The sequence below is a fragment of the Homo sapiens genome, chromosome 16 (assembly GCF_000001405.40).
Source record: "Homo sapiens chromosome 16, GRCh38.p14 Primary Assembly".
Taxonomy (NCBI): domain Eukaryota; kingdom Metazoa; phylum Chordata; class Mammalia; order Primates; family Hominidae; genus Homo; species Homo sapiens.
The window spans coordinates 56498223-56518257 of record NC_000016.10 but is presented as its reverse complement, the minus strand read 5'-3'; the positions used below and the strand labels follow the sequence as shown (position 1 = coordinate 56518257).

At 39.5% G+C, this 20035-nt stretch overlaps 1 protein-coding gene across 8 annotated transcripts in view, besides 1 other annotated feature; it reads left to right on the top strand.

Annotated features, from left to right (window-relative positions):
* The window catches only part of BBS2 (Bardet-Biedl syndrome 2), a 49622-nt gene that overhangs the window by 1767 nt on the left and 27820 nt on the right, over positions 1–20035 (top strand). For 2 of the 8 annotated variants that reach the window (NM_001377456.1, NM_031885.5), the window contains exons 2-13: positions 3578–3805; positions 6974–7099; positions 7337–7399; positions 8224–8301; positions 12034–12138; positions 12222–12308; positions 15450–15585; positions 15802–15941; positions 16761–16905; positions 17233–17404; positions 18351–18480; positions 19690–19821. In NM_001377456.1, the coding sequence (NP_001364385.1) occupies positions 3578–3805; positions 6974–7099; positions 7337–7399; positions 8224–8301; positions 12034–12138; positions 12222–12308; positions 15450–15585; positions 15802–15941; positions 16761–16905; positions 17233–17404; positions 18351–18480; positions 19690–19821 (1542 nt within the window). The other 6 variants (NR_165297.1, NR_165296.1, NR_165294.1 and 3 more) reach the window with 5 other exon arrangements.
* Positions 10947–11241: a silencer, noted in NCBI's record as "tiled region #6357; K562 Repressive non-DNase unmatched - State 23:Low". NCBI's record gives its function as "represses a minimal TATA promoter and a strong SV40 promoter by Sharpr-MPRA in K562 cells {active_cell/tissue: K562}" and the evidence as "EXISTENCE:reporter gene assay evidence [ECO:0000049][PMID:27701403]".

The window sequence follows — 20035 nt, the reverse complement described above, 5'->3', positions numbered from 1 at the left end:
TATTGTATGTTATATGCCTTGGGATACAGAAGTAAAAAATAAGGCTTCATTTTCATTAAGTAGTATAACAGAGTTAAGCTATTAATACGGGGTCTGGCACATCATGATGTTAGTTATTGTTACAGTTAGAAGTCACTGACAGGCTGGGTGCAGTGACTCATGCCTGTAATCCCAGCACTTTGAGAGGCTGAGGCAGGCAGATCATCTGAGGTCAGGAGTTCAAGACCAACCTGGCCAGCATGGTGAAACCCTGTCTCTACTAAAAATACAAAAATTAGCCAGGTGTGGTAGGTGCCTATAATACTAGCTACTCGGGAGGTTGAGGCAGGAGAATCACCTGAACCTAGGAGGTGGAGGTTGCAGGGAGCCGAGACCGTGCCATTGCACTCCAGCCTGGGCGACAGAGTGAGACTCGGTCTCAAAAAAAAAAAAAAAAGCACTGACAAATGCCAAAAAGAACTTCATGTTGCTTGTGCTGTAGGTGCATAGCAGATTTATAAATGGGCTGAAAATATCCCATTGGTATTAACTCAGCCCCTAATTTGAGGGCTTACTATGTGCTGGGCAGTCTTCTTAGCTCTGCAGGTGCATTGGAGAATGTGACAGACAAGTTTTTGCCCCCTTGGAGCTTACATTTGAGAGGGGGAACCAGGTAGTTAACTGAATATGCAAGTGTTTTCATAGGAGAAAAAGAATAAGGGATTCAGTGTGATGGGAGCTTGGTGTCTTAGACAGGTGGTCAGATGGCCTCTAATAACATTTGATAAGAGGTTTGAAGGAACTGAGGAAACAAGCTCTGCAGATTTGTGGGATAAGCGCCTTGCAGGCAGAGGGATCTGCAGGTGCAAGGGCCTTGAGCTGGAGATATGCATGGTGTGTTTCAGGAGCACAAGGAAGCCGCTGGGGCTGGAAGGCAATGAGGGTGGTCATGAGGTAGACACAAGCCAGATCATATAGGAACTTGTAGGCCATGGCAAAGACCTTGGTTTTTATACTGAGTAAGTTAGGAAGTCCCTGAGGATTTTGATAAAGTGGGTGTTGGAATTTGCTTTATGTTTTAGATAAAGGCTAACTGGCTGGTATGTGGAGAACAGATGTTCTGTGACGGGATGTAGGGAGGTAGGTGTCGGAGTAGAAGCAGGGAGATCGGGCAGAGGTCCCTAGGGCAGCCCTTAGATAGAGTGTGACCTGGAGTGGAAGGCAGGAATGCTTGATTGTAGGGCTGTTGTCGAAAATGGCCTAATAATAATAATAATAATAATAAATAAAATAAAGGAGATCCCTTGTCCTGTGTAACTGGATGGATACTTTGTGTTCAGCTCTGTAAACAAATCTAAAAAGTTCTGACCTGATCTTTTATCTTGAGACCTTAAAAAGAATTAGTAGTATTTTATGACTCAAGTAATGCCATGAATATATTTTCTTAAAAGCAATTAAAACATTCCAGCTAGGGTTAAAGCCTGCATGTCTAGAAACAGGACTTTATCCTTACAGCTGGGACCCTGTTGTGAACATGGAGCTGACTCTGAGCCTTAGCAAGGATATTTTTTTAAAAGGAATCTCTGGCCGGGCATGGTGGCTCAACACCTGCAATCCCAGTACTTTGGGAGGCTGAGAGGGGCAGATCAACTGAGGTTAGGAGTTCGACACCAACCTGGCCGACTGAAACCCTGTCTCTACTAAAAATACAAAAATTAGCTGGGCGTAGTGGCGCACCCCTGTAATCCCAGCTACTCGGGAGGCTGAGGCAGGAGAATCCCTAGGACCCAGGAGGCAGAGGTTGCAGTGAGCTGAGATTGCACCACTGTACTCCAGCCTGGGCAATAGAGCAAGACTCCGTCTCAAAAAACATATAAATAAATAAAAGGAATCTCTTGCAGGGTGAATATTAGAGTTTTCCTCTGGGGACATTTTTTCTCTCATGGTAATGCTTAGGGGTCAGTTGAATTTATATTGTTTGCAGCACCTCCTCAGCTAGAACAAAAGTGTGAACTTCAGCAAGTCCTTTGAAAGCCCTGGGAGTGGTCTTTTTGTCGTATGACTGAGATTGGCTTTCTTTCCTTGCCTGAAGGGACAGACTTGTCTCCCTGTGGACTCTCTTTGAGTGTAGAGAACAGCAGGAGGGAACTGGGGGAAAGTCTGACTCCTGAGATCCTTGTTGCTCTTGACAAAAATTGCAAACTCTTTCCATTCCGGTAAGAATGAATATGGAGCCCGTAAGCTATTTCTGCTCCTGTACTTTCTCAGCATATTGGATTTCTGGAAAACTTTGTAAGAATTGGTTTGTTCAGAACTGTTATAAAAGGAAGTGTGATGTGGTGGTGGCTGGAGCGCAGGGCCTGGAGCACACCAGGCTCTTGTCTTAGCCCTGTCACCAGTCTCAAGACCTTGGCAAAGGGCCTTAACTCTTCCGACCTCATATGGAAATGAAGGGTTGGTGTCAGGTTCAAATGCAATTAACATTGACCAAGGCATGTTATAAAGTGTTACACAAACGGAACATGAAGGCAGTGTTCAGTGGCTGCACGTTTTCTATGTTTTTAGTCAATTCTTTTGAAAATTATTTTTTGTTGAATAGGCTGCCTTGGGTAGGTGTTAATTTAAAATTAATTCTGTTTGGATTTATGTGAAAGAGATGAAATACTCATGTAAATTTTAAAAATTTTAGAACTAGAAGGGGCTAGAGGGATCCCTAGTCCAGTGTTTTTCATCCTCCCAACCTTTTTGGTCATATTGCCCACCTTGGAACTTTTTTAGACCAAGAAAATTTTCCCAGTGAAATTCTGATACCTCAGATATACTTTGTATCTCTTTTTGTACTGTGGTCCTGCGAAGGGCTACACGATTCCCCATCGCAAACCCATTTACCTGTCCTGGGAGTGATCTCGCCCCTCTTAAGACTGCATTTTATAGTCCAAACCTCCTTTTTACAGGTGAAGTCTAGGAAAGTTGAATAATTTATGCAGACACTCAGATTATATTTATGATAGTTGAAACTGTTGAATTTATTATCTTTGGGCTAATTACTTAGTTCTATGTCACTGGTATAAACTGTGAAAGCCTTCAAGATACTTGATTTGCATGACTCGGTTTAAGTTTGTGAAACAGGTTTACTAACTAGCAGACCATTTTAAGGTCTAGGAAGTGATTCATTAGGTGCTTGGATGAAAGATAATAAAGGAAGTGTTTATTCTGTTTTCCATGATCTTCTTGGTGTGTGGCAATCACATTGAAGGTGGTAGCAGCTTATTCTAGGTTGATCGGGAAAAGGCTAGCTCCTAAGAGTGCTTTGACATCCTGCTGGTGGGTAGCATGTAAGCTGGCCTGGTAAGCAGTGACTAGATCTTGTTCATTACCTTGTTCCTTACAAGGCTAAGAACCACTGGATTTCCGTGATTTCATAATGACTGAAAGTTGTCCATGCATTGAACTATGTACGAGTGTTTTAAGTTTCATAGGAGATTAAAGTGACCTCTTGTTAATGTGGATGTGTTAATAACCTGGTTCTTTTTTAAAAAAATGTATGATACTAATTTTTTATATTTTAAGGGAATGTAATTAGTTATTTTTGTTTCAGGTTTTTATTCATAATCCTCATACACGGAACCAGCATGTCAGTGCATCCAGGGTCTTCCAGAGCCCCCTGGAATCTGATGTTTCTCTTCTCAGCATTAACCAGGCAGTCAGCTGTCTGACTGCAGGCGTATTGAACCCTGAGCTTGGCTATGATGCCCTTTTAGTGGGGACACAGACTAATCTTTTGGCTTATGATGTCTACAATAATTCGGATTTGTTCTACAGAGAGGCAAGTATAACCTTTATAACCATAAAATTGTCATTACTCATTAATGTCCATTTTTTATGCTTAGAAGAGATCAGATCATTTATTTTGGTCTGTTTGTTGTATGACTGTTATAGTATAGGTAAACAACATGGAGATTTTGCTGTTAACATCTGCTTTATGTACTCGGAACTTATTTATTTGGTTATGGTTGCTAATCGCTTGGTGACACTCGAGCTTATCTCTATGAGGTATATCTGTGATACTGCCATCTGTCAAGATCTGTTGAGAATTCAGCCAAGAGCTGGGAAGCCAATAGACAGGTCTCCTGGTGGACTTGCATTCAAGTTTAGTGCAATAGTTTGTAGAAGCCCTTACTGTAGCCTGCCACCTACAGGCTGCTGCAACTTTAATACCCAAGCAATTCATATTTGTTACAGAAAAGATAAGGAAGTAAAAAGTAAAAGAAATTACACCTATTTTTTCATCTAGAAAGAGCACTTAACTGTTGAGTTTTTGAATCCAGATTTTTTACCAAGCATATATGAATACATTTTGTAGTAAAATGGGGTCATATATACATGTAGCCTTTTACTTGTTTTTACCCTATAGCAGCTTTATTAAGATATGATTCACATGTACAACTAACCTACTTAAAGTATACAATTCAGTGGTTTTTAGTGTATCCAGAGAGCTGTACAACCATCACCATCATCAATTTTCAACATTTTTATTACCCCCTAAAAAACCCATACCCATTAGTATCACTCCCCATTTTTCTTTAACCTCCTAACCTTAGGCAACCAGTTATCTACTTTCTGTCTCTAGAAGTTTGCATATTCTAGACATTTCATAAACAATGGAATTATATAATATGTAATCATTTGTGACTGCCTTCTTTTTCTTAGCATGATATTTTCAAGGTTGATCCATGTTGTAGCATGTGTCAGTAATTCACTTTTATGGCTGAATAATATTCCATTGTATGTATATACCACATTTTATTTATCCATTTATCAGTTAATGGACATTCCACTCCCTGGCTATTATGTGTGGCTCTTTCATTCAATAATATGTTGTGAACATCTTTATATGAAGTTACTACATACCCGTTATGTCATTCTTATTGGTTCTGTAGTATTTCATTGTGTTAATGTAATTTGTTTAACCGTTCCATGTTGTTGAACATTTATGTTATTTCCATTGTTTCTGTATTACAGTTCATAGTGTAATAACTGTATCTCTTTGACCACTTCCCTGATTATTTCCTGAGGATAAGTTCCTGAAAATGCAGATGGTTTTCTTTCTTTTTGTTTTTGTTTTCTGAGACAGAGTCTTGCTCTGTCACCCAGGCTGGAGTGCAGTGGCATGATCATGGCTTACTGCAGCCTTGACCTCATGGGCTCAAGCAATTCTCCCACCTCAGCCTTCTGAGTAGCTGGGACTACAGGTGTGTACTACCACACCCAGCTAATTGTTTATTTTTTAGAGAGATAGGGTCTCACTATGTTGGCCAGGCTGGTCTCAAACTCCTGGGCTAAAGCAGTCTTCCTGCCTCAGCTTCCCAAAGTGTTGTAATTATAGATGTGAGCCACTGCATTTGGCTGGTTTTCTTCTTTGTCTATTTTTTGTTGAGGTAAAATGTACATACATGAAAATGCACAGACCTTCTGTGTACAGTTCAATGAGTTTGGATCCCTATAACCAATACCCCAATAAAAATAGAGAACATTTTCATCACCTCAGAAAATATTGTTGTACCCCATTCCAGTCAATTTCTATCTCCCATAGACAATCACTGTTCTGACTTCTGTCAGCTTAGATTAGCTTTTCCTGTTGTTGAACTCCATACAAATAGTGTCTGGCTTCTTTCACTTAACATAATACTTGTAAGAATTATCCATATTGTTGCATATAAAAGTAGTCTTTTGTTGTTGTTGCTAAGCAACAAAAATAGTATATTCCATTGTGTGAATATACTATGGTTTGTTTATCCACTCTCTTGGTGATAGACAAGTGGCTGGACATTTGGATTGTTTCAGTTTTTAACAACCATTTTTGTTTAAGACTTGTTTTTAATAAGACTTTTTTATATAAGACTTTTTGTAGATATATGTTTTAATTTATCTTGGGTAAATACCCAAGAGTGGAATTGCTGGGCTATGTGGTTTATAAGAACTTTATGACACTGTGAAACTGTTTTTGCAAAGTGGTTGTATCACTTTATACTCCTGCCTGCAGTGTAGGAGAGTTCCAGTTGCTCCACATCCTTTGTCAACATTTGTTGTTGCCAGTCTTTAATTTTAGCCATTTTGGAAGGTGTGAAGTGATATCTTAGGTGTGGTTTCATTTTGCATTTCCCTGATAATCATTGATGCAGAGCACCTTTTCTTGTGCATAAATGGACATTTATGTGTCTTCCGTGAAGTGTCTTAAGTCTTTTGCCTATTTTTTATTGGTAGTTTGTCTCTTTATTATTGATTTGTAGACATTTCTTGGATATACTGGATACAAACTCTTTGTCAGATTTATATATAATAAATATTTTCTCCCAGCCTGTGGCTTGTTCCACTAGGCATGTGTCTTTTGATGAGCAAAAGTTTTGCATTTTTGTGAAGTCCAGCTGATCACATTTTTTCTTTAGTGGTTAGGACTTTTTCTGCCCTTTGCCTATTTCAAGGTCACATCGTTTTTGTTCAGAAGTGAAATCGAGTTTAGGACTGTATTAGTCAGGGTTCTCCAGAGAAACAGAACCAATAGGACATGTACATATTAGAGGGGGAAATATTTATTTTCAGGAATTGGCTTATGCAGTTGTGGAGCCTGGCAAGTCAAAAATCTGCATGGTGGGCCAGCAGGCTGGAGATCTAGGAGAGAATTGATGTTGAAGCTCAAGTACAAAGGCTGTCTGCTGGTAGAATCCCTTCTTCCTTGGGGGAGGTCAGTCTTTTTTCTATTAAGTCCTTCAATACTTGATAGAAAGTTCTTAATAGAAAGTATTGAAGGACTTAATAGTAAAGTAGATTATTATCCATATGTGCGTGGGCCAGTTAATGTGTGAGGCCCACCCACATTATGGATAATAATCTGTTTTACTCAAAATCTGCTCAGTTTACTCAAAATTTGGCCCAATTAATATGTGGGCCTGCATATTATCGTGTCTAAGATAATGTGTCCTTTTACTTTTCTTAGGTAGCAGATGGGGCAAATGCAATTGTGCTGGGGACATTGGGAGACATTTCTTCCCCTCTTGCGATTATTGGTGGCAATTGTGCTCTGCAAGGTTTCAATCATGAAGGAAGTGATCTCTTTTGGACGGTATGAAGAAGAAAACATTCTTTTTGGTACCCTTAAGCATTTTTACTTTTAATGTTCTTTTTTAACCACCAACTCTACTGAGTAATAATATTTATAATTCTGTGCATTAAAAAAGGATATGAATAATTCGAATAGCATTCATTCGTGTTTTGTGTAATCCTCTCCTTCATGTAGCTAATATATTTGGAGTAAATGGAGAAACGATGGCATGCTAATGGTTTGGGGTTTTATTTTCAGGTTACTGGAGACAATGTTAATTCCTTGGCCTTGTGTGACTTTGATGGTGATGGAAAGAAAGAGGTATGTGGGGGAGGAGATATCTCTCTTGTGTGTTCAGCCAAATGAATTTTGCCATGACAGTGACATTAGTGTTGACAGAAGTGTAAGCTTCTCCTGGCTGATTTTGGTGCTCTGTTGCCTAAATGCTCAGCCAGTTGGCCCCATTCGTCTTTCTCTTCTCTTTTGAACAATAAATCACTTGTGCTTGTGTAATAAATACAAAGATCAAAGCCATGGTGTTTCAGAGACACAGGAGAGGGCAGAGAGGGTAGAAGAGTTGGGATTTCAGTCATATTCACGGTCTTATGAATTGCTCCTGATGCTTTGAAACCATATTAGTATATAGTTTTCAATTTTGGCCAACTGTTTTGAGGAATCTAAATGTTTTAGAGATTGGCTTTTAGCCTTTGAAATTATTCTTATGGTTACCCTAGAAATTAGCTTCTTGAGCAGTTAGTAGGTGTGACGTGCTGTGTTGGGCACCGACTTGCCCCTCTCTTGTCCATGGACACTGGACTCTGGTGTTTGAACAGGGCTTCCATCTGTAGGCAGAGAAAGTTGCTGATCCAGGGAGCCTTTTCAGGTACTCAGGGAAATAACGTATTCTGGCAAGATGTGCAGCTCCCATGGCAGGATAAAAGCTGCAGTAGCCCCTGTTCCTTCATTGATTGAATCTGCTGATCCTCCCATTAGAGGGAGCATTTCTGAGCATCAAACGATTATGAGGTTGTCAATCTTGGGTGGCAGAAGCAGCATGCAAAGTACTGTGCAATTTTTTGTTTTGTTTACAGAAATTTTGTTGTTTGCACTTACTCACCTGAACATGTATGATATTTCCCCTTCAGCTTCTTGTTGGATCTGAGGATTTTGATATCCGAGTTTTTAAGGAAGATGAGATTGTGGCAGAAATGACAGAAACAGAGGTAAGAAGCTCCACCTCGAACTATGGTAACCTTGAGCAAGATAGATCAGTACTGTCAGATGAAACATCAAGTGAGAGTGCTGGGGCATCTCCAAACCCAGGTGGTTTTAGGATAAAAGCTTGGGGAGGGGGTCAGACAGAGCTGTATGTTATGGTAAGAAAAGCAATAAAAATCCTAATTAAGATATATTTTGAAAAGACTGATTAAATAGAGAAAAATTATTGCATATAGTTGAATACATAAAGGCATTTCTTTTAATGAGTTAATACATGCAAATAATAATAATGGCAATCATTTATTATGTACCTATTGTATGCCAGGTAGTGCTCTAAGTACTTTATATGAAGTAACATATTGAATCCTTACAACAACCCTAATAGGAAGATAAATTATTATTATTTCTATAGATGAGGAAAATGGTGTTCTGGTTTTTTGTTTGTTTGTTTGTTTGTTTTGAGGCAGAGTTTTACTCCATCACCCAGGCTGGAGTGCGGTGGTGCGATCTCGGCTTACTGCAAGCTCCACCTCCCAAGTTCAAGTGATTCGCATGCCTCAGCCTCCTGAGTAGCTGGGACTACAGGCACGCACCACCACGCCTGGGTAATTTTTGTGTTTTTAATAGAGACGGGGTTTCACCATGTTGGCCAGGCTGGTGTTGAACTCCAGACCTCAAGTGATCCGCCCACCTTGGCCTCCCAAAGTGTTGGGATTACAGGGGTGACCCACCGCGCCTGTATTTTTTGTTAAGTTACTTGTACGTAGTCTTGGCTATGAAATGGCATGGTCAGCATTTGAACCTTTATGCCCCTTCCTCCTCATCATGTGTATTCAGTAGGGCTGAAGTGCATAAATGAGATGTCTATATTTTTTTCTTCCTGCAAATTCAGTACTTCTTTGGCACATTTCTGTAGGTAAACTTAAAAATTATAGAACTTGTGATTAGAATCACTCATGTAACTGAACCTGAGATATTTCTTAATATCCCAGGTTGTTTAGGCCTGATGTTTAGGCCTGGTGCAGTGGCTCATGCCTGTAATCCCAGTGCTTTGGGAGGCCAAGGTGGGAGGATCACTTGAGGCCAGGAGTTTGAGACCCGCCTGGGCAACATAACAAGACTCCATCTCTACAAAAAATATTAAAAAATTAGCCAGAAGGTGATGGCACACGTCTGTAGTCCCAGCTGCTTGGGAGACTGAGGCAGGAGGATCCCTTGAGCCCAGGAGCTTGAGGCTACAGTGAGCTATGATCACGCCACTGCATTCCACCCAGGGGCAACGAGAACAAGACTCTGTCTCAAAAATAAAATTTTTAAGAAGTAACAGTGTTAAGAGTTAGGAAAATAAAGACAAAAATAAAGCAAAAAGCACTATCTAAAGATTACCTGTATCCTTTATGGTTTTGACATTCTTAGGATATTTATTTGCTGCTGGTTTTCCAGGATTGGGCAAGACTCAAACAGAAAAAAATAAGATATTCTTAATTAAGGAATAAGAGGATAAAGGAGCAATAGCTTGTGAACGTTGTAAGTGGACAGAAAGAAACCAGTAAAAGAGAGTCTTAGAGATCAGAATGGTGGGATTTTGCAAAATTTAGTTATGTGGTATTTAGGAGTCTGTATCAGAAAAGCTCGAGGGCACTAGTCTCAAAACTGACCTTGGCCACTTGTCTTTAAATTACTTGCTTCATGTCACTCATAAAAGCTGCCTAAGAAGGTCAGACTTCTTTTCTCCTAACTATAAAAGGAGACAAAAAGCAAAACCTACACATTGACATACAGTGCTACCAATGATTTTAACTAAGTTATCCTATAGCAAGAGTCATCAGTTTTTATTTAGTCCTACTATACTTTTTATATATTCACAGTTATCATGATGTAAGATGATAGTTGTGGACAGAGAAGAAATGAAGAGGAGAAATGGGTGCCAAAAGGAGCAGTCTGAGGATGTGTGTTTATACAGGGAGTCTGTTTTTTATTTTATTATTTTTTTGAGATGGAGTTTCGCTCTTGTCGCCCATGCTGGAGTGCAGTGGCGTGATCTTGGCTCACTGCAACCTCCGCCTCCCAGGTTCAAGTGATTCTCCTGCCTCAGCCTCCCGAGTAGCTGGGATTACAGGCACCTGCCACCGCGCCCAGCTAATTTTTGTATTTTTAGTAGAGATGGGGTTTCGTCATGTTGGCCAGACTGGTCTTGAACTCCTGACCTCAGGTGATCCACCCGCCTCAGCCTCCCAAAGTGTTGGGATTACAGGCATGAGCCACCATGCCTGGCCCGGGAGTCTGTTTTGTGTGTATGTGCTTATATGTGCTTTCTGAAGAGAGGGCCCGGAGCCTTCATTACATTCTTAAAGGGGTTTGCAACCTCCCCCACCACCAAAAAAAAACAACTTGAGAATCCCTGGCTGATAGATGGTGTGTCCCGAATTCTCATATCCCTTTCATTCTAATTTGTGGTAAATCTTTTCTCCTTTGGTGGGAATCATTCAGATTTTGTTGGATTTTTATTGCTTGTTAATATTAGATTTGAGGAGACTGAATTCTTTGAAACATCTCTTTCCTAAATCCTAGAAAAGAGGACAAGAACCTGGAATAGAGTTAGGGATTTGAGGGGACTTGTTGATCTTCTAGTCCACAAAAGGAAGAAACTGGTGAACTAAGGAAGCAGTAAAAGAGCTGAGGAATCTGGGGCTAAATTTATGAAAATATGGACTTCATAACATTGTTCACTTGCAGGGCCATTTTCCTGTTCTCTTTGTTAGGTTTTGCTCCTAGCTCAAATATCATTTCCCAGATCAGCAAAATCATGATTCATTTGGCAGTTGAACAGTATGAAGTATTGTCAGAAGAATGCCTTGAGCTAAATAATTCTGGAATCCTACACAGCACTTTGTATTCATAGTTAAGTGAAGTGGGTGGTTTTGTAGAAAAGCTGTAGGTGTAAAGGAAATTATATAACTATTCTCTGCTTTATACAATTTATTTCTTAATATCTCTTGTATTAGGAACAGAATTAGAAAGTAGATCTGCAGGATCATGGATATCATTAAGCTTTGGTTTTAACTTTAAAGGAAAGTTTTGTTCAGTACCTAAAATTTTATCCTTTTAAGGATGTCAAATCCTTGAACAGTCCTATAAATATTTCTGTATCATATATGCATTCTGTATATTGTTATATACTACACAAATCCACGTGCCTGGGTTTTTACTTTTCAAAGGATTATGTGTTCTTTCTTTTACCTCTAGCAAACAAATTATGTCATAGAAAGAAAAGTGTATACATGAAGTAAGATATTCAATTGTGTATTGTTATAAGTCTTTTAAAAATTGAGACTGTAGGATGTTATAAGTTAAGTAATAATCATTAAAGCCTCTTGGGTGAACATATATAATATCTATTGTATATGCATATTTTCGATCTTGTGTAGTTAGCTTATGTTTTCCTTAGTCCTTCAGTTTTCATGTGTTTTTTAAAAATAATTTTGTGAAACTTGCCACATAAGGTTGCTCTAAAACACCAAACCCTGTGAGTTTATTTAAATCTGATTATACAACTCTGAAGTAGATGACATGTATCGTAGAGAAGAGGAATACATTCCCCACTAATGGATTGGAAGCGCTTTTAAATCTAATTTTAACATAGTTGTAACAAGGAGTGTGAAGTCTTATAAAGCCGTACTTGACAGTAAACTGAGTCTTAATGAAAAGATGTTGTGTTTTTGTGGATTGTTTTGCAGATAGTCACCTCTCTTTGTCCCATGTATGGCAGTCGATTTGGTTATGCCCTTTCCAATGGCACAGTTGGAGTTTATGACAAAACATCCCGATACTGGAGAATTAAAGTTAGTATAATTTAGCCTTTGATATTCAGGCGCTTGATAGTTATTGTGAGACTTCTGTGCTAATTATTAAAATTCTTTTTCAGTCGAAAAATCATGCCATGAGCATTCATGCTTTTGACCTTAATTCTGATGGAGTGAATGAACTGATAACTGGTTGGTCCAATGGGAAGGTAAGTTTGAATAGCAAAGTTCAGGTATAATTCAGAGTAGTAATTGTCCAAGGTGTATTGGCTGTAGGACTTAGAACAGTAACATTGGGATGTAAACTTCAGTTCGTTCCTTGGCAATGTTTTTACATTTAACTTAATAATCTTGACACATTCTTCCTGCTATCATTGTCAAGAGCTGCACAGTGAGAGAGTGTAAGTCTTATAAGCGGTGTTTGGGGGAAATCTTCGGGGAGATTCTGTCTAAATCTCTTATTTGAAGTGCTGAGAATCCATCAGCCAGATTGATTCTAGGTAGTACAACAGTAAAAAAGGAGTTTTAAGGAATTGTTTGAATAGCTCTTTTCCAATACATCTTCAAAACTGCCTGAAAACTTAGCACTAATAGGAAGAATCATGTTAGCATATTGTTTTCTGAGCTATAACTTTAAAATAAAATCCTTTTGCTTGCTTTCCTTTTTTAACTTCAAATCAGAATTTTTTACAGTCTTTTGGCAAGTCAGGATTGTCTTCTTAGAAGCTGCCTAGGTAGCTGCCAGATCTCCATGGATACCATTTGCCCTCGCTTTCTTGTCTGTCAGTGTTGGATTGCCTGAAGGGGATCAGCAAATTCTTATCTTTTCTTCTTTGATTTATCTTTACTTTTCTCTAGCACCTTGTAAGCATTCCTTTGGTGTTACGTGAAGAACGGATTCTAAAAAGCTGTTATGTTGGTTTCTGCTTCTTCACTTAGTTTTGTCATTAGTATGGGTACTAAAAATTATAAGACTGTATAGTTGCTTATTAAGAAATATGAAAGTCTGTGAAATGGGTGTCTTAGTTGGTTTGGGCTGCTGTAACAAAATACCATAGGGTGGGTGGCTTATAAACAACAGAAATTTATTTCTTATAGTTCTGGAGGCTGGGAAGCCCCCATCAAGGTGTTGGCAGTTTCAGTGTCTGGTGAGGGACCACTTCCTCATAGGAGCCTTACAGGGTGGAAGGGGCAAGGGATCTCTCTGGGCCTTCTTTTATAGGGCACTAATCCTGTTCATGGGGGCTCTGCCCTTATGACCTAATCACCTCTCACAAGCTCTACTTGCCAATACCATTCATTACCTTGGCTAATAGGATTCAGCATAGGAATTTGTGGGGGCAAAAACATTCAGATCATAGCAGTGGATCATATTTTGAGGGAATATAAATTATTATGACTGACTTAAGAATTAGAAAACTACTAGACTTGAAAACTTGTCAGGTTACCTTGAAATATAATTGTTGACCTAGATGTTTTTATAGTTAAATGCTTTTGAAATTTTAAGGGATTTCTATTATGTAATGCGTTCCTGAGCATGAAAAAGATAAGAAAATTATATAAGTGGAAAAACCGATTATCTACATCTAACAGAAATATACAAAAAGGAAATATACAGATCCAACTTGTGAATACAGGTGTGAAAATATTAAATAAATGCTGCTAGACAATTAACTTTGTCTTTTGTATGTCATTTGATGAGTTGGAGGGCCATCCTTTCCTTTCAGGGTAAAACCTCCCAGTTGGATTAAGCAAAAGATCAGAATATCCACAGAAATATTAATTTGTAGTCCTGCTTCTTAGTTAGCAAATGAGCCTTCTTATTTGCTAAATATTGTGGAAATGCAGTGGTAGAAGCCATTAGGTAGCTAGGCTTTAACTAGAAAGAAGCAAGTTCAGGTCAGTCTGAGTTAGAGGGCTACATTAATGTGCTTTGTTAAAAATGCAGGTCATTCGTTCTTTCACAGGCTTTAGCATTCATAATTTTCAGGCTTCCATGATGTTATTAATAGCATTAATACTTGACAGTGATATACTGTAGACAAGGGGTAGGCTGTAACCTAAATTACTTTATGTTTTGGTTGCAAAGTTTTGCCCAGAAGATTGTTTATGAAAAGACAAAACTAGTGAGTAGCATTGGTCATCGAAATGATTGCTATGCTAGATTTTCTGTAGCTAGCCTTTTGTTGATAATACCTGTGTCCTTGCCTGGAACATAATCATCTTTTTTTTTTTTTTTGAGACTGGAGTCTCGCTTTGTCACCCAGGCTGGAGTGCAGTGGCGCAATCTCGGCTCACTGCAACCTCCGCCTCCCGGGTTCAAGCGATTCTCCTGCCTCAGCCTCCCTAGTAGCTGGGACTACAGGTGCGTACCACCACACCCAGCTAATTTTTTGTATTTTTAGTACAGACAGGGTTTCACCATGTTAGCCAGAATGGTCTCGATTTCCTGACCTCGTGATCCGCCTGCCTCGGCCTCACAAAGTGCTGGCATTACAGGCGTGAGCCACTGTGCCCGGCCTCATAATCTTCATTTTAAGTGATGGTCACTTATTATCACTTTTGAGATGCATTTGTTTCTGATCAGTCATTTATTTATTTGTTCTCTCTCTTGGAAATGGGAGACTTAGAGGATAGGAGAGCTCTCTAAAGTATCTGAATAGTTTTTATGTGGAAGAGGAACTCTTAACAGGGTTGTTGTAAAAGGTTGCATGGTGGAAGACTGGGCTAACTCCGTAGTTTCTGAACTTCAGATTCAACATACTTTATACATTTATATATAATAAAGATACAATTTTTATATAGAGCTAACATTTATTACGTACTTCTGTGTGTCAGGCCCTGTTGATATATGTTAACTTCATTAGGCCTCAGTTATACCCAATGGGATATAGTACTGTTAATTTCTCCATGTTCTGGTTATTGAACCCCAGATGAAAAGACCAAGCACAGAATGGTTAAGAAACTTGCAAGATGCTGTGGATAGTACGTGGCAGAGCTAGATTCTGAACCTGAGCGGTTTGGCCATTAAGCCCATGCCCTTTTGCACTGTGCTGTGTGTACTATATGTACTGGCTCTTAGCAGACCCGTTTCTTCAAGTGAAGCATTGTGTGAAGGCCTATGAAAAACAGCTTTTATTTAAAAAGAAGGAAGCACAGCTGGTTGAGGCTCTTTAGGGTCCCTCTTGGCCCCAGCAGTCATAGGTATCTCCTGAGAAGTTGTAGGGCTTCATAGAATACTCTTGAAAACTGCTAGACTAAATGACCTTTAAAGCTGATTTTTATTTTTAAATTTTGTGGTTTTTAAACATGTAGCATAAGCAACTTTTAAATTTGTGTTTTATTTGTAGGTTGATGCTCGAAGTGACCGAACTGGGGAGGTCATCTTTAAGGACAATTTTTCTTCTGCAATTGCCGGTGTGGTAGAGGGAGATTACCGGATGGATGGCCACATACAGTTAATCTGCTGCTCAGTGGATGGGGAAAGTAAATTGGGATGAGAAAAATCCTTAAAAAGTCACGTTTTCCATTTGATTGGGTCAAAATATCAGGAAATTTCACCTGAAGTATTTGTACCGAGATCCTGTAGTTCTAATAAATTCACCAAAGTTGGGGAGAACTTAGGTTTTTGTTTTTAAGAGCAGGTAATTGATGACCTAAAAGTATACCTGGTTATACTTGCGGTTTTTTCCTTCTGTTCAGTCCGGGGCTACCTGCCTGGCACGGCTGAGATGAGGGGCAACCTCATGGACACCAGTGCAGAGCAGGACCTGATCCGAGAGCTGAGTCAGAAGAAGCAGAATCTGTTGCTGGAACTCCGTAACTATGAGGAAAATGCCAAGGTAGGTGTAGGTCCTAATGTGACCAGGTAATGGAGGCTGAAATGTTGAGACTGACCGGGAGGATCAGCAAATATGGAAGAATGAGAGTGTCATTGCCAGGGTGTGGCCTTTTTGCCATTGTCAGAATTGAGAGGGGATATATGCTTTCGTCTTGAAATTTCATTTCCAGGTAGTTAAACTGTAGAAATGTTTTCCTGATTGTTTAAGGACATTTCCTGCAGCACTATTTATTTATAGCAGTGAAAACAGCTGGAAGAAACTTAGATGTTCGTCAGCAGTAGGGAGTATGTGCTAAGGAATATTAAGCAGCTCAAAGAATGAATACTTGGACTGATATGGAAGGATATCTGTCGTCTTACCAAGTGACAAAAGGCAAGAACAATATAGAATGTCTTTTATCTTTTTCAAAAACAAACATGTTAAAAACAGACAACTGTAAAAACTGTGTGTGTGCATACAGCAAACTGGCTGAAATATTCCTTTAATTTGTCCTGTAATGCATTACTGTATTTGAATTTGATGTAACAAGGGAATTTGTTTGCTTACTTTAAAAGAACAATACTTCAAAAATGTTAAAGTCATGATGGGATACAGTGGACCATACCCATAGAAAGATGCAAGGGTATTTTCCCACAGGGCCAGATAGAGCAAGGGAGCACTAATGAGGTGAGTTCTCTGAATTCTAAAGAATCAGATTACTATAATAATAATAATATGCTGGAGGCTCTGTCTTTTGAAGCTGAATAGCAATATTATTTAAAATTGATATTAGTTCAGTGTTTTGGTGACTGAGTAGGAAATGGGTGGGGTGTTTTGCAGGCTGAATTGGCCAGTCCACTGAACGAGGCTGATGGGCATCGGGGCATAATCCCAGCCAATACCAGGCTCCACACCACGCTCTCAGTCAGCCTGGGGAATGAGACCCAAACTGCTCATACAGAATTACGCATTTCCACTTCTAATGGTAAGACAGTACTCACAGCTGGTATTTAGAGGCACCTGTGCCATCTTGGAGTCATTCTTTTTTTTTTTTTTGAGACAGAGTCTTCCTCTGTCTTGGCTCACTGCAAGCTCTGCCTCCCGGGTTCATGCCATTCTCCTGTCTCAGCCTCCCAAGTAGCTGGGACTACAGGCGCCCACCACCACGCCCAGCTAATTTTTTGTATTTTTAGTAGAGATAGGGTTTCACCGTGTTAGCCAAGATGGTCTCGACCTCCTGACCTCGTGATCTGCCCACCTCAGCTTCCCAAAGTTGGAGTTGTTCTTAAACTGTTTTTACTCTTCCCTGCAGACACCATCATCCGAGCAGTATTGATTTTTGCAGAAGGAATTTTTACAGGTGAAAGCCACGTGGTACATCCCAGCATTCACAACCTCTCCAGTTCCATCTGCATCCCTATTGTGCCTCCCAAAGATGTCCCTGTGGATCTGCACTTGAAGGCATTCGTGGGTTACAGAAGCAGGTGACCCTTTGCAAGTCACAGTTCATTTCAGGACAGCACTTAGAGGAGGGCAAGATGTATAAATTTTCCATATGCCCAGTGGATTCTTGGGGGCCTGAGAAACCATTTAATGGTTCTGTCTACCCAAAGTTTCTCATGACCTTTTATTTCCTCAGTTTGAAACCTGTAAAAAGAAAATGGAAAAACTGATATGTAAGTTTAAGATGGTTCTTTTTTTTTTTTTTTTTTTGAGACAGATTCTAGCTTTGTCACCCAGGCTGGAGTACAGTGGGGCAATCTCAGTTCACTGCAACCTCTACCTCCTGGGTTCAAGCAATTCTTCTGCCTCAGCCTCCTGAGTACTGGGACCACAGGTGCCCACCACCACGCCCAGCTAATTTTTGTATTTTTAGTAGAGACAGGAGTTCACCATGTTGGCCAGGCTGGTCTTGAACTCCTGACCTCAGGTGATCCACCCGCCTTGGCTTCCGAAAGTGCTGGGATTACAGGCATGAGCCACCACGCCTGGCTAAGATCATTATTTTCTGTTTTTAGTCAGGTGATCTCATAATCAAAAAATGTTTAATTGATGATTTGTCAATTTGTAGTTTTGGCCACTAAAACTACAAGAGTTAGGATGCACCTTTATATTACAGTCATACATAACCTCAGCTAGTGAAGAAAAACTGCTCTATTTGTGGAAGATAAGATACTTTTTACATCCCCTTTATGATATTTTAAACCCTTAGTGCATGCAGGTATATATGTAGACTCATGCTGTCTTTAAATCCCAAACCTAATATATTACTGTAGTACTTTAACCCTCAAGTGTTTTGGGGGTTCCTTCTTAAGTGAAACCCTTAAATATCAATTGATGACCCAGAAGTGGCTTTATTTTCTGGGCCTTGCATTTTGAAAGAACATTCTATACAAAACAATTCTCTTGTGTTTCATTGATTGGCCATAGCACCCAGTTTCATGTATTTGAATCGACAAGACAGCTCCCTCGATTCTCCATGTATGCGCTGACCAGCCTGGACCCTGCCAGTGAGCCAATCAGTTATGTTAACTTTACCATTGCAGAACGGGCACAGAGGGTGAGTATCTCGCTTTTCTCTTTCAATGCTTTTACACAGTAGAATCCTTTAGATGTTATTTCATAGAAAGGGAAAATTACATTAATGTGTTATATTGGTAGCAGTAAATATGATATGAAAGAATTCTCTAACTTGGGGGTGGCTTGTAACCTGTAATAAAAATATTGCTAAAATACCTTCTCTCACTTTGAAAAAGCATCTGAGCAATCCTCAGTTATTGGTGAATTCTTACCAGTGTTTAATTCCTCTCTTTCCGTTATGGTCTTAGTGTGGTTGTCCTGGTGTAGTATTTCAAGAGGAACCTGCAGCAAGATGAAAAGAGAGTGGGACTTGGAGCTAAGAACGTTTTTGGCTTTAAGTGCTACGTTAACTCATTAAATTCTTAGTGATCTTGGGGAAGTCCCCTCACCAGTGTGAGCCTCAGTTTTCTTATCTAATAAGTAAGGATAATCTTACCCACCTTATTGCGGGGGCCCGAGGATTACATGATTGGTGTAACAGTAGCACCTTGTACATTTGAAAGGACTAATACCAGTGGACTTTAACCTTGGCTGGGCTTTGGAATTCTTGGTGGGACTTTTTAATCATGTAGATTCTCAGGCCCCTGCCTGGCCTGTGGAACCACAGACTCTATAGGTGGGCCCTTCCAGAAGGCCTCATGGGTGGTTCTCATGTGGAACCTGTGTTGCAAGCCACTGCATGGTGTTACTGCTATTAACATTAAAACTTATATTTTCCTTATTGTGTGGATATATCTGTGGTGTTTGCCCATGTATACTTCATTTTACATTTCTTAAAGAATAGAATGGAATGGTTTTAAGCACGCTACATTGTCCAGGTTATACCCACAGAAGAGCTGTTGTGTAACAGAATCAGCATCATACCTGAATCATTTGTACATTGCATATAAGACTATGTCTAAGTAGAAGATGCTATGAAATCATGTCTGCTGTGGGGCCAGGCATAATTATGAATGTTACTTAAGAGCATAGGTGAGGTGAGAAAAGGGAATGTGACTAGTGTTTTAGTATTTTCTTGGTGTGGGATGAAGTATAATTCTTTTTTTTTTTTCTCAACAAAGCAGTAAAACTAGAAAGAAGGAGAACTCTTCCCTCAAGAATGGCTGTACCTTCATATCTAGAGGCACATTAAAAAAAAGAACGTCTGTACCTTAAAAATGGAGGTCATTTCATTGTGTTCATTTTCAAGGTTGTTGTATGGCTCGGTCAGAACTTTCTGTTACCAGAAGACACTCACATTCAGAATGCTCCATTTCAAGTGTGTTTCACATCTTTACGGAATGGCGGCCACCTGCATATAAAAATAAAACTTAGTGGAGAGGTAATGTTTAATATCACGGGGCATAGATTTCTTTTTTGAATTTATTTATTCAAACACTTAGACCATGGAATGAGAGGGGCATAGATTTCTCATGTGGTGTTTACCATTCAGTCCAAAGTGAGGTGGGGGACATCAATGTCAAGGTCATAAAACCACGTTTTGTTTTATTTTTTTCACATGGTTTAACTTAGTCTGTTAGTGTTACCATTTTAGA